At 49.6% G+C, this 14,159-nt stretch overlaps 2 protein-coding genes across 57 annotated transcripts in view, besides 3 other annotated features; one reads left to right on the top strand and one right to left on the bottom strand.

Moving 5' to 3' along the window:
• Positions 1 to 14,159, bottom strand: part of RALGPS1 (Ral GEF with PH domain and SH3 binding motif 1) — a 308,385-nt gene that overhangs the window by 87,712 nt on the left and 206,514 nt on the right. The window lies entirely within an intron of this gene.
• Positions 11,606 to 12,239: an enhancer, noted in NCBI's record as "H3K27ac-H3K4me1 hESC enhancer chr9:129885495-129886128 (GRCh37/hg19 assembly coordinates)". NCBI's record gives its function as "activates a minimal SCP1, AML or CMV promoter by ChIP-STARR-seq in naive H9 embryonic stem cells {active_cell/tissue: H9 hESC(naive)}" and the evidence as "EXISTENCE:reporter gene assay evidence [ECO:0000049][PMID:30033119]".
• Positions 12,240 to 12,873: an enhancer, noted in NCBI's record as "H3K27ac-H3K4me1 hESC enhancer chr9:129884861-129885494 (GRCh37/hg19 assembly coordinates)". NCBI's record gives its function as "activates a minimal SCP1, AML or CMV promoter by ChIP-STARR-seq in naive H9 embryonic stem cells {active_cell/tissue: H9 hESC(naive)}" and the evidence as "EXISTENCE:reporter gene assay evidence [ECO:0000049][PMID:30033119]".
• Positions 12,820 to 14,159, top strand: part of ANGPTL2 (angiopoietin like 2) — a 35,288-nt gene continuing 33,948 nt past the window's right edge. For both annotated transcript variants that reach the window (NM_012098.3, XM_006717030.5), the window contains exon 1: positions 12,820 to 13,140. The gene's annotated coding sequence lies outside the window, so the exon portion shown is untranslated. The remainder of the gene's footprint in view (positions 13,141 to 14,159) is intronic.
• Positions 12,874 to 13,507: an enhancer, noted in NCBI's record as "H3K4me1 hESC enhancer chr9:129884227-129884860 (GRCh37/hg19 assembly coordinates)". NCBI's record gives its function as "activates a minimal SCP1, AML or CMV promoter by ChIP-STARR-seq in naive H9 embryonic stem cells {active_cell/tissue: H9 hESC(naive)}" and the evidence as "EXISTENCE:reporter gene assay evidence [ECO:0000049][PMID:30033119]".

Raw genomic sequence — 14,159 nt, 5'->3', positions numbered from 1 at the left:
TGGGCTGGTTGTCCCTTGCTTGGTACAGCAGCCACCTGGCTAGCCATAGCTCCAGCCCCTCTCCAGCCTCTGTGCCCCTTCACATGAACCACAGTAACTTCTTGGCTCCATGTGGGCCCATCTTGCAAGGGCCACAGAGACAGGAATGAGAGGGTGGAGCCCACTTCTTCCCAGATACTCAAGTCCTTCCAAGGCCTTGTGACCCCATGAGTTTCTGCTTTCAGACATCTCTATACTAGAAACAGCCACCAGTTTCTATGTTCAATGTGACCCAAACTCCAGGGGCTACGTGTCAATCTCCCTCCCCAAAGAGGGAGAGAGGACTGAAAGGACACAGCCCCTCTTCTTCCATGCTCCTTGGTGGGCCGAAGGTCTATAGCTCATCACATTCAAGTGTCCCAGGCAGCAGTCTGTCCCAGGCACATTCAAGTGTCCCAGGCAGCAGAGATGAGTGCTGTCTCCTCTCAGCACTACACTTGCTGCAAGTCTAGGACCCTCTCTCTTCCCCACAGTGCCCATCTTGGACTCACTGGGCCGGAGAGGGGGTGGAGAAGGAATTGAGCATGGGTGTTGGGCAGGGAACCATTACTTTGGTTTTACTCTGACAGACATTATAATGATTACTCTCAGCTGTTCAGAAGCTCTGAACAGTGAGCTATGAGTTTTTAAAAATAAAGGGGTAAGACATTTATTTTTATTTAATATAAGCAGCATGTTTCACAGAGACTGTATACATTGCAACAGTAAAAAACAACAACAACAACAAAAACAAAATGAAGATCTGAGTCAGTTTAGGGAGCAAGACCTTGCTCTGTAACCCTGGCAAGATTTTTCTCTTTTCTAGGGCTCGGTTTCCTCATCTGTATAGTGGAGATTAGAATCATCATACCTATGGTGAGGCATGATGGACAGGAAGAAATGAATTAACAAAGAGCTTCACATCATACTCAACTTCACAGTAGCATGGCTGCTATTATTACTGATAGATTTTTTCAAAACCCAGAGCTAAGAAGAGGTAATGAAAGGGGTCTTAGGTGGGGAAAGGATCCAAGCCACTGGCTCAGTGTCCTCCAGGCTGCTCCCAGCTCTGCAGAGGAACCTAGCACAGTGCCAGGCACACAGCAGGCCTGTAACATGTATTTTGTGGAATGGGTGATGTCCTCCAAATTCCAGGATTCTATTTATCTGCTGCTTATCAGAGGTGTTCGGAATACAGATTTAAATTGCATTTAGTGTAGCAACCAAAAGAGACTGTGGGTCTTTAAAAAAACAAAGGAGGAGAGACCCCCCCTGTGTGTGGAGGGTGGGCAGCCATCCCATCGTGGCCAGGCAGGAGCCGGCAGCTGTCTCCCGGCGCCTGCTGCAGCTGGATGGCGGCCGTGAATATTTTCTTTCTTACGTGAAGCTCCTCTCTGTGTGTGCTGAATCACAGCATTCACGGGGGGGGGAGCGAGGACAAGAGCATTTACTAAGGGGATACTGGGCATTATCCGGAGCAGCCTAGGAGGCAGGGGCAGGGGACCAGGCAGGGCCAACACTCAGTCAGGAAAGGAGCATCTGACACCCACAGTGGGTGCTGGGGGCCCAAAGATAAACACTCTGACCACAGAGACCAGGCCCAAAATAGGCCGAGTGTCTGGGGTGTCAGCTGGGATTTGCCCCTTCCAGCAAGTCACGGCTTAAGCATTCTGTTTACCAAACGTTTCTGCACACATAGAAACCAGGAGAGTTTTGGTTCCATGTTAAAGAAAATGGAGAGGGTCCCCCTAGGGTGGATTTTGAGGTGTTGGAAGCTTCTCTGACAATGCCGGGAAGGAGGGCCAAACCTGGGGCTGCCCAGAAAGAGCCTGGCAGAGGAAGAAAGGCAAGGGCAGGCCGGTGGGTGAGTGGGTGGCAGGGTGGGGCTTGTCCCTACTGGGTCCACCCCACCCACAGCCCTGGCTGGCAGGTAGCAGAAAGGGGGTGATATTTGCAGGCAAAGGCGGCTCTGCAGACGGGGACGCCACCTCGGCATGCTCTCAAGCTCGCTGAGTAAACAAAACCAGCTGAGTCTGTCAACTCACAGTGAAGACTGAGCTGCGCTTCCAAGGGCTGCCAGGAAGAGGGGGTTTCCAGTGTCAGAAGCCTGAGGATCTTTCTTTACCCACTCTCACTCTCTGCTAGGCTGCCCTTCTCTCCCCTTGGGGACTGGGGCTGAGGGTCCGGGGCACCGGGCAGGGCAGCCTCCCCAGGGTGCACGGTGCCTCCTCCTCCCATTCCCTCCCCATGGGGCCACGCCGCTCTCTCCACAGGCTCCTTCCCTGCCCCTCTGTGAAGGTGGTGGGGAAAGAGTTAACGCTTACCATGTGCCAGCCATGCAGTCATGCACCTAACATGTACATGTCCTCAATGGTCACGAGAACTCTATGAAGTAGGTGCTTTTTCATCCCTGCTTTGCAGATGAGGACACTGAAGCATAGAGAAGTGACATGAATAAGGGCACACAGCTAGCATGCAGTGGGGCTGGGATTTGGACCTAAAAGTCTGGTTCCAGAGCCCACAGTCTATACCAGTACACTGGCCTTCCTGGCAGGGTGAGGATGAGGATGAAGATGTTGATGATGATTATGAAGAAAAAATTAGGTACTTACTATATGGCAGGCACTTTGGATATTTTATGTCATTTAATTCTCATGGCAACCTTATGAAATATGGGTATTATTTTTATAATCCCCAATTTAGAAAAGGAGAAATGAGGCCCATGTTAAGTTACTTGCTCAGGGCCATTCAGCTGGGAAGGGCAGGCCCAGGGTTCAAACCCAGGTCCCTCTGACTCTAGTACCCGGTGCTGCACCCTTCACTCATTTGTGTGACAGCAATGCTGACTGAGCACCCCCTGGTGTGTGTCAAGCACTGTGCTGGGCACTGGAGACCCAAAGGCAATGAGGTGGCTGCTCCACCCTTACAGCGTGCTGGGGAGGGAAGAACACTGATCACACCATCGTGTCAATGAACCTAAAATTCCAAGGCGAAGCAGAAGTATACCTAGTCTGAGCCATGCTTCAGGTGTTTTGTTGTGGTGGTGGTAGATAATTCACAGAAGTAATTTCTGCAAGACGATTTATAGGAACCTTTTTTTAACGTACCCTTTATTTCCTTTTCTGTATCAGGAAAGCAATTGGAAATCAGGGACGTGTTAATGAAATCAGTCGAATGAAGTTTGTTTCACATTCAGACATCACAATGTGGCTTAAATGCTACATTTTCCCAGGGTCAATGACACTCAGAAGAGTGAAAGGGCAAGACAGCCAGCTCCCAGGAAATGCCTGAAAAAAGCCAAACCGCATTTTTCCTGCATGATACGTAACCAGCATCTGCACTCACCAAACAGCTCTCAGATGCAGGTTATGGTCACTGCCAGCCCAGTCCTGACTCTCCTTCATGGCAAACTCCTCTATCTCGAGGAGTGGTTCCCACAGCAAGGGCCTCATGTGAACTTGTTAGAAATGCAAATTCCCGGGCCCCAGATTTACTGAATCAGAAACTGGGGGTGGGGCCCAGCAAACTTTTAACAAGCCCTCAGTTGATCTTGAAGCGCAAAAGCTCGAGAACCACTGACCTAGGATGGGCTGAAGTGGTGAGCACAAGGACCCACCACTGACTGGGTGCCTGCTATGCATATCTCAAGCACACACCTCCAGGAACCTTCACAATAGTTCTGGACATAAACAGGATGATCCTACAGATGAAGACACGAGGGTCAGGAGCCTCCCTAAGTTGCCCAACCTCACACTGCTGGGAAGCTGTAGAGACTGAAGTCTGTTAAGAGTGTGGACTCCGGGTCAAACAGGCCCATGTCTAATCCTGACTTCGCTGCTTACTGGCTGCGTAGATGTAGACTCCCTCACCACTCTGAGCCTGAGCTACCTCATCAGTTAAAATGGAAGACGGACAAAGAGAACTTCTCCTGAGAGGCTCCGTTTTTGAGAACTCAATGACGTAATCCACACAGGAGGCCTCCCCAGTGCCAGGCATGTGGTGAGTGTGTAACAGATGGCGGCTGTTGGCTGTTACATAAGAACAGAGGTCTTGCAAGCTTCAAAGGCCTGTGAGTACCCAATATTGATGTAATCAAGTCCAGGCAGTGAGTCTCAGTTACTTTACTCACAGGAGAGCCCTTTAGACTAGTTTAGTGACCAGTTATTTTTATTTACAAATAACTCTTGTCAGCTTTCTGGAATCTCAGCTGGGTGAGAAGCAACAAATCAGGAGAGGGATGAGAGGCTGCTAGGAAAGTACCAACAAACACGGCTGCCTGGGGCTTACAGGGCTCCTGTCAACATTGCCCTCCACCCCCACAGCCCACAGTCAAGCTAGTCTATTCAAGACGACTGAGTCACCAAGGAGCGGCCAATAGTGTAATTAGCCAAGTTTATGGAGGCGAGTGCACATATGCATGTGTGGGTCTGTGCAGAAACATAACAAGAATAAATACAAATTTTAAAACACTGTATGTTGAAAGAGATAACCCTGTAGCTTTCTAGCCAATTCAATTGTCTAAAATGACATGGTCCCCAGGGCCTGGAGAGCTGAGCCTTCTCCATCACATAGGCAGATAACGAAGAGGTTGAAAGGGCAGGCTTCTGGGTGCCAGACTGGCCAAAGGTCAACACTGGCCCATTGTGTGACCCTGGACAAGTCCATTAACTTGAGCCTCAGTTTCTTCATCTGAAAACTGGGGAATAATAAAAGAATCTACCGTAGCTCATAAGGTTGTTGCAAGGATCAATAAGTGCTCAGTGAATATTATGAATTATTTTTGGATGTCAATACATGCACTGTCTTTCCATAAGCTTGCTTTCCACTATGTTAAAAGGATTCTTTTCTTTGGTTAAGCAGACTTCATATACAGGCTGCAGGCAAAGGAAAAGGCAGAGAAATACTTCTTTGACTAAAGGACTATTAGTAGTCAGGCTCTATGGCAGTGGTTCTGGGGACAGTGACAGATGTGCAAACCAAAAAGGGACAACTTAAAGGAAAGCTGTCCGGAGAGATACAAAATGACTGATGACCTTCAGAGGACCCAAGTGTATTAGAAACCCAAGATAACAAGGCTCCAAATTACTAAATGAAGAAAGCCAGCATTTACTGAGCACCTGCTATGTCTCCAATATTGCACTAGGACATCTGTACTCACAATGTCTCACTTTTTACTCCCGGCCATCTTGGGAAGGTGATATTACTATCTCCAGTTCTTAAATGAGGAAACTGAGACTCAGGGAGGATAGGTAAATTTCATAAGTTACAGGGCTAATAAGGGGTGGAGGTGGAATTCAAACCCAAGCCTAGCTGACTCCTATCGACTCGACCAAGTCACCTATGGTCCAACAGGGAGGGAGCTGGTGACACACGTGTCCTCACTCGCTTCCTATCTTCTCACTTCCTGTGGGCACCTGCCACAGGCCAGCCCTAACCCAAATCCAGAAGGTAAGAGAGCCCATAGAGGCAATCCCCACAGGTCAGCCAGCATCTGGGCACAGGGCAGGGTGCCAAAGAGCAGATCCTGGGAGCAGATGAAGAATATTGAGCAGACAGGAAAAACAGATCCCTGCCCTCCAGGGTTGCAGGCCTCTGAGCCAGGATTACCCAGCCCAGCCCAGGGAGGGAAGAGAGAAGGCGGTGGGGTAGTCTGGAGGCTGGCAGGACTGAAGCAAGCCTCCTGCACTGGCTGCCTTTACTCCCTGCAGGGCCTATGTGGGTGCCCCTGAAACCCCCAACATCAGACCTACTAGTCAGAAAGGTCGCTGCCAGCAGCCCCTGTTGTCCAGCACCAGCACCTCCATCTGGGGTGACACCACCCTGCTCTCATTCCTGAGAGGCTCACTCTATCAGTCTTTTGCCAGAAGCCCTCGTTTATCTAATCAGCTGCCTCCTTGGGTCCCAGGAAAGATAAACAAGGTCAGCAACAGCTTGGCTGGTCTTTGGAATGGGAATTTCAGCAGGTACCTGTGTAAGGGGGTTGGAATCCCCCCCCACTGACTATAAAGCTGTCCTCAGTACCTTGTCTCCTGTTTGGGATATAGGTCCTGTCTGGCACAGACAATGTTCCAGAAGTGACAATATTTTTAAAAAATTTATATTGGATGGGAATTATTTTAAACAGCTTTGGAAAGTGTCTATGAATTTTTCGCTATGAAGAAACAAAGCAAACCAGCAAATGAAAATTAAATCTCTACTCTTGCCAGTCCTCAGTCTCCTCTCTTGGGGATGGGGCCATGCACCAGCTATGGTATGAGAGAGCTGGACACGCCTTAAAATACTGTTACGAAACAAAATGAAAACCAGTCAGCTAAAATTCTCAGCAAATTGTCTTTGGGCAAATTGACCTAGAGCCCAACTCTGGTGCTCAGATGGAGCTTAAAACGAATATTTGTTGGCTGTTAGGTGACACCCACACTTGAGGAGAGGTGTTGTCCTCACGGTCCCCTGGCAAGTGAGTTGAGAAGTCACACGTGAGCTAACAACAGGCTCTCAAAGCTGCTTTGTACCCAAGCATGCATCCTGTTATGACTTTTGGATATACTTGTTTGGCCAGCATTTAACAGTCACAGTGTCCTCAAAGGGCTTTGCACGGTGCCTGGATATCCTTTGTGACACTGGACAGTAGCACCACCTTAGAATCGTCCCACAAGTCCAAGTCTCCTAACTTCTCCTCACCAGAGCCAGGGAACATGTGGTTCCCCCACCCGGCATGGTGCGGAGAGTCACAGGACCTGACCACGCGCCTTCAAGAGAGGAGGGGACCAGCTGGCTCACACTCAGTCTAGTGGCAGCTGTTTTATTAAATCTGGACTGATGGAGGCTTCTGGCAGTTCCACAGGCTTCTTGATGCCTGGACACTCCCCAAGACCTTTCCAAGGCCAGCTGACCAGGAGAGGAGGGGCTCTGCCTTTTGGCTCCTCAGCCACAGGCCAACCTCACTGGGGCCTTGATGACTAAAACTGCCACACTTCCTTGAATCTGACAAGTCATCAACTGTAAAAAGCATCACATTCTACTAGGAAAGAAAAAGTGCTGCCAATTAGACTATGACACACCACTGATGGTGAGAAGCATCTTGATTGGTCAGAGACCTTAAAACAAGAAGCAGCATGCTGGTATTAAACAAGAGCAACTTTTAGCACTGTTCACAATAGCAAAGTCTTAGATGCAATCCAAATGCCCATCAATGATAGACTAGATAAAGAAAATGTGGCACATATACACCATGGAATACTATGCAGCCATAAAAAGGATGAGTTCATGTCCTTTGCAGGGACATGGATGAAACTGAAAACCATCATTCTCAACAAAGTAACACAAGAAGAGAAAACCAAACACCACATGTTCTCATTCATAAGTGGGAGCTGAACAATGAGAACACATGGACACAGAGAGGGGGGTGGGGGGCTGGGGGAGGGATAGCATTAGGAGAAATACCTAATGTAAATGACGAGTTGACAGGTGCAGCAAACCAACACAGCACATGTATACCTATGTAAAAAACCTGCACGTTGTGCACATATACCCCAGAACTTAAAGTATAATAACAATAAAAACAAGCAAAATTTTTTTTTTTTCAGGACAATCGTGTTCCTCCTAGCTTTGATGCAGATTTTATTCCCAGTCCCATTATTTCCTAGCTGTGTGGCCTGGTACAAGGAACCTCACTTTGCTAAGTCTCAATCTTTTTGTTAGTAAAATAGAATAGTAATATTTCACTCATATGGTTTTAAAATGAAGTGATACCTATAAATGTTGAGCTCAATGTCTAGCACATCACAAGTAGCTACATAAGGTGCTCCAACAGGGCTTGTGAGGACAGTACATCTCTTTCACCTTCTAGTGCTCAGGTGGTACACTGAGATGTACCAACCTGGGATCTTGGGGTTGACATTTCCCAACAGACTATGATCAGAAGCAGGGAGGACAGACAACTGGATGAAGGACAACCAACCAACTAGGCTCATGGCAGAGCACCAACAGCAGAACGGGTACAGAAGGTTTGGGTGAGAAAACAAATTCATTGGGATATGGAGTTCCAGTTCCTGAAATGGAGGAGTGGACTGTTTTGAACAACTACTCTGGTCAATAACAATTACAAACTCTGGACCAAAAATATTAAAAAAATTTAAAAAGACCTGCTTGAAATCAGTGGAGAAGGAAAGCATACTAGAGCATTTCCCAGTTCACGGTGACACACAGAAGAATGAATCTGAAACAGAAAGCAGCAGTCTACTGTCTGGGAAGATGGGAAAGAGGTTGGACTTTGAGGGTGGAAAGTTAGTGGGGAAATGCCAGAAAAGACACAACTACAGAAGAGAAAGCCCCAAAATTACTACACCAATTCCCTTCAAATCCTTAGCTAACTCCTAAACTGTATACAAGTAGAGAGACTCCAAGGAGCACAACAGAAGGCAAAGTAATTTAACTGCCTGCTAGAACACAACCCAACATTCTTTAGAGGAAGACAAGAAAATACAGAATGTCTTTCATGTATCATCCACAATGTCCAGTATACAATAAAAAATTATAGACATGTGAAGAAGCAGGACAATATGACCCATAATCAAGAAAAAAAAGCAGTAAAATCAAACTCACTAATGAGCCAGATGTTGGAATTAGTAGGCAAGGATTTTTAAATGGCTATTATAAACATGCACAGGATTTTGAGAACATGAAAGATAGAATGAATCAGTGGATATGGAATCCCAGAAATGGGAATTATAAAAATAAACCAAGTGAAAATTCTAGAACCAAACATTGTAGTATCTGACATAAAATACTTTAGACGAAATTAACAGCCGATTAAATGCTGTAGACAAAAGGTTAGCAAATGTGAAGACAGGAAGGAGAAGTGATCCAAACTGAAGCATGAGACAAGAAAAGATAAACAAATAAAGCTTCAGTGACCTGTGGAAGAACAAGTGTGTAAATGGGGTTCTAGAAGGAGAGGGGAGAGATAATTGAGCATAAAAAATTAAGAAATAATGGCTAAAAATTCTCCCCATATCCCCAAATTTAGTAAAAACATATAGGTCCAAGAAGCTCAGTAAACCCACATGGAATAAAGGCAAAGAAAACCACACTTAGTCACATCATGGTCAAACTGCTAAAAAATCAAAGATAAAGAGAAAATCTTAAAAGAAGCCAGAAAACAGAAGATCCATTATGTATACAGGAACAACAATAAGGAAGGCAGTTGACTTCTCAACAGAAACAATGTTGGTCAGAAGACAACAGAAAGACATTTAAAAAGTACTGAAGGTAGCAGGGAGTTGGGGGTAGGGGTGGGGTGGGGTATGGGAAAGAGTCAGTTTGGGATGTGTGAAGCTTCAAATAATGGTGGCACTCTGAGAATGCAAGATACAGCAAAACTGCCCCCTCCCAAGTACACCCCTCTAAGAACACAGTATACCTGCATCCCCTGACCCACCGCTCCTCATATATACGCAGTCTCCCAGTGGACCATCCCGCTGTTTCCAACAGAAAAAAACCTGCAACTGTCAGGAAGGTGGTAAGACACGAAATCATTCTTACGAATTGTGTCATTTACATGAAGAATCTTTGTATTCTACCACCATGTAAATGTCACGCATTTACTGATAAAATTTTAAAAAGTCACACATTAAATGATAAAAACTATAAAAAGGAAAGGAAGATTCCCTTCTCCTCAAATGCTTTAGTCACATGATGCTTCTGTCTGACAGACAAGTGGAAATGTGGGAACGGTGCTCAAGGAGGTCAGGGGGACACGGAGATCCAGGAGTCACCAAGTTAGAAGCATGCTGGAGAGGATCAGGGTGGGAGTGGGGAGAAGTCTGAGGGCAGGAGCAGAAGCAACAGCAGCAATTTCCTGAGCAACCGCTAAATGCTGCAGCCGGGCGCAGGGCCGAATGCTTCAGCCCCATCATCTTACTCAATCCTCACAGTAACCCTGGGAGTAGTAGCATCCCCTTTTTACAAGTGAGGAAACAGAGCTTCGGAGAGAATAAGAAAGTTGCCCGAGATTAGTGAGAGAGCTGGGATTTGAGCACAGGTCCCTTAGACTTTGAGCCATGGCTCTTCATCCTCCTCCAGCCAGCAGTTCGTTTATTCACTCCTCTGTACTGGGCTACACGAAAGGAGGGCGCTACATGGCCCGCACACACCCCTGCCTCAGGGGACTCACAGCCCAACGAAGGAAGCAACAGAAACTACAAGAGCTTTTTGTTGAGCCTTGTACTAGGCAGTGTGTGTTACACTTAATGTATCACATCTTATTTCATTTTCTCAACAGCCCACAGCCCTGTGAGGGAGATCCTCATATCATCCCCATTTTACAGATGAGGAAAGTGAGGGTCAGAGCAACCAAATGGTAGAACTAGAATCTGACTCCTGAGCTCCCCAGTGCCCAATGCCACCAATTTTGACTGCCCAATGCCACCAGTGGGGCGGGAGGTGTGCAAAGACGGATGGGGCAAGACACCCTGGTGCTCCTTCTCCACTGAGGGGATCCTAAGAACTTTGAATAGTGAAAACAACTTTCTTTCAGTAACCAAGGGGCTTGTGCTGGACCTGTTACCAGAGGGTGGGAAAGTCCTAGGACACTTTGTCTGTAGCTCACATTAATCCAGTCTCCACTCAATAACTAATGTAGCCTTTAAAAAATAAAACCAAGTCTCAACACTGTCTTGCTCAAAACCTTTCAGTGGCTCCTTACTGTCTTTGGAATAAAGTTCCACCTCTCTAACAAGACCCCATCTTCTCTCCTCAGCCACAATGTACTTCTCTCAGCTCCTCTAAAGGGCTCCCTCCAACTGCTCTTGCCCGAGTCTATCCCAGTTACTAATGCTGTGTAACAAATTACCACCAAAATTTAGCGGCCTAAAACCACCATCTTATTATACGCATGGGGCCTGTGGGTCAGGAATTTGGAGATGAAACAGTAGAATGGCTCTCTCTGCTCCCCAGTGTGTGGGGCCTCAACAGGAAGACTCTACAGCTGACAGTGATGCAGCATCTGGGGTGACTCTGTGGCTAAGGGCTGGGATCATCTACAGGCATCTTTCCTTGCTCACGTGTCTGCGGCTGATGCTCCTGTCAGCTGGGACCTACACTGTGTGTGGCCTCTAGCTGGACTTCTTAGGCTCCAGCTTAGCTCGGGGCTTCAAAAGAGAGTGCCCTGGTGAACAGGGTAGAGACTGCGCTGCCTTTCCTCTCCCAGCCTCAGAAGTCAGGTGGTGCCACTTCCACCACATTCCTCTGGTCACAAGCAAGTCACAAACCCTCTCGGGTTCAAGGCGAGGAGCAGGGACCTCACCGCTCCATGGGTGAAGTGTCAGGGTCTCCTTGGGGACTGGGAGAGATTGCTTGGGCCATCTCTGAAAGAGGAATCTGCCACAGGGTTGGGACGGGTGCCTGGTAGTAGGGAGGATGCCTAGGGGCAGGGAGAGTCCCATTAAAGTTTTTCTCCCAATTTGTTCCCAAACATCATCACCACCATCATCACTAACACCTTTTTAAAAAAGCAAAGATACCACCAATATTTCACATGTTCTTGTCCAAGCAGAGGGGCAAACTTGTACCCTGGGGCTCCCTTCCTGGTGCCTGCCATCCTCCTACTCTCTGTATCCCCGCAGGGTGCCCGGCAGCAGGCCTGTCCTCCTGCACTGACTGTACCTTCTCCCAGGCTGCCAGTGCTGACGTGTCTGGAGGATGCTTGCATCATGGGGTCCAGTGCCATCCTCTCCTTTCTTACTCTGATTCTATCAACATTCACAGAGCTCCACCTATGCGGCTGGCTCCATGCTGAGGACTCTGATGCAGTTCCAGTGTTTGTTCCTAGAAGAGCCCAATAGGAGGTCACATTTTGATGAAAACACAGGCTAAAGAGGATCACAAAGCAGAGGTTCTGGGAGCAGGAGACCCTTGATCCACCCATCTCCAGAGTCCTAAGCTCAGTTCAAGGAGGCGTCCTTGACACTGTGCCAAGCTCCTTCCCACGTGACCTCACAGAGTCCTCGCTGCAGCTGTTGCAGGTAGATTACTAGTATTAATTAGCTCATTTACCGATGCATGGAAGGGATGCCCAGAGAGGTGAAGTGAATTAATCAAAGCCACTCAGGTGTGAAGTCACAGAGCTTTCCTCCAGGGCTGCCTCCACCCTCAGCCTGTGGTATTTCCACTGTCCTAAGCCACTGCCTCCTGCTAACTTCGAGCAGCTCCGATGCCACAGCTTCTGTGTGGACAGCCTTGGACTCCTTTCCCCAGGGTTTAGAGATGAGAATGAGGCCTCCACGAAGGGCGGCTGATGGGGAGAGGCGCTCTGGGCTGAGCTGCCCCGCCCGCCAGCCTGGGGCTCAGTGGGGCAGTGCCCAACGAGGCATCCAGGGGGAGGACCCGCTGCCTGCTGCTCGCACGCGGCTGCACGCACAGCTGGAGCGGATCTAAACCCATTCCCTGAGTCAAAGGGGAAGCGCTCCGCCTCGCAGCACGCGGGAGCTGCCTGAGCTTTGGGGAGAGGGCGGGCCAGGGAGCAGAGCTGGCCAGGCTGCCCGTGCCAAGGAAGGAGGGGGCCTGCCGAGGCCGCCAAAGCGGGCTGGGCGGGAGGGGCCAGGCCAGCTGGGGCCGGAGCTCGTGTGACATCACCGGGCGGCCCGCCTCTGTCTGGGGCTGAGGGGAGGCCCGGAGCCTTTCTGGGGCCTGGGGGATCCTCTTGCACTGGTGGGTGGAGAGAAGCGCCTGCAGCCAACCAGGGTCAGGCTGTGCTCACAGTTTCCTCTGGCGGCATGTAAAGGCTCCACAAAGGAGTTGGGAGTTCAAATGAGGCTGCTGCGGACGGCCTGAGGATGGACCCCAAGCCCTGGACCTGCCGAGCGTGGCACTGAGGCAGCGGCTGACGCTACTGTGAGGGAAAGAAGGTTGTGAGCAGCCCCGCAGGACCCCTGGCCAGCCCTGGCCCCAGCCTCTGCCGGAGCCCTCTGTGGAGGCAGAGCCAGTGGAGCCCAGTGAGGCAGGGCTGCTTGGCAGCCACCGGCCTGCAACTCAGGAACCCCTCCAGAGGCCATGGACAGGCTGCCCCGCTGACGGCCAGGGTGAAGCATGTGAGGAGCCGCCCCGGAGCCAAGCAGGAGGGAAGAGGTAAGGGGCCAGCTCTGCGGCCATGAGAGGCAGGGGCGAGAGGCAGCCGCTGGCCCCGTGGCTAGGGCTTCCAGAACCCTGACCCTCCAGCTGGGGGTGTGTGCTGCTGGATCTCAGAGGGTCACTCCCTGCTATCGCTTGGAGCCAAACGAGGCATGTCCGGGGCAGAACCTGTGGACATTTGGTGGTGTTTGGGGGCACATGATCATGGGCTGGCATCTCGAGGACTTCATGAGTAAGCCTCACTCTCCTCTTTTGGACAAAGAGCCTTTGGGGTGCCGGCCGGCAGCTCCCGGCACGGCAGAGCAGCTGGGAGTGTGCGTGTGTGTAGGTGTGTGCTTAGAGGGCAGCGTACTGAAGAGCTGCAGAAGGCAGGGGTGGCCCAAGGACTTGGGTAGTCACTTTGAAGCTTTGGATTCCTATGCCCCCAGGCCGGGACAATGTGAGGCAAAGGCAAGCGCTGTGCTGAGGCGCTGGGAGCCCCTGCTCGGAGAGTTACAGGAGCTGGGCTGCCTCTGCTCACACCCTCCAGCTGGCGAGGAGAGCAGAGGCACCCAGCACGGGAACGGACGCATCACCCAGGGGCTGCTGCACTGGATGGTACCCCGGGTCTCCAACTGAGTGGATGTGGCCAAGATACAGGGAGGATGCGGCTTCCCTGGTACCCCCGCAAGGGGACAGCAGGGGCTCCACATACCAAGTCGCCTGAAAGCACTCAGTATTAGATAACATTTCCAAACAAATTCTTCACTGATCCTTCCCTTCTCCTTCTATGATATGTGTGTCATGGGTCAGCTCTTGCCTCTGCTGTAGGATTATGAGAGCTCCCAGAGGCCAGTTCAGTTACTTGGAAAAGCATCTCCTTTCACCCCACTCTCTGGGGAAAATTGAGAATGCCACTTCCAAAGCCGGCCAAATGCTCCCCACATGTATTTTTCCAAATGGAGGCAGAGTAGGGCAGTCCTCATGAGCTGGCTTCAAATCCCAGCTCTTCTACCTACTAGCCAATGGCTCTGGCA

Source organism: Homo sapiens, chromosome 9, assembly GCF_000001405.40.
Source record: "Homo sapiens chromosome 9, GRCh38.p14 Primary Assembly".
Taxonomy (NCBI): Eukaryota; Metazoa; Chordata; class Mammalia; order Primates; family Hominidae; genus Homo; species Homo sapiens.
The sequence above is the reverse complement of the archived record's forward strand: the minus strand, read 5'-3'. Positions and strand labels throughout refer to the sequence as shown.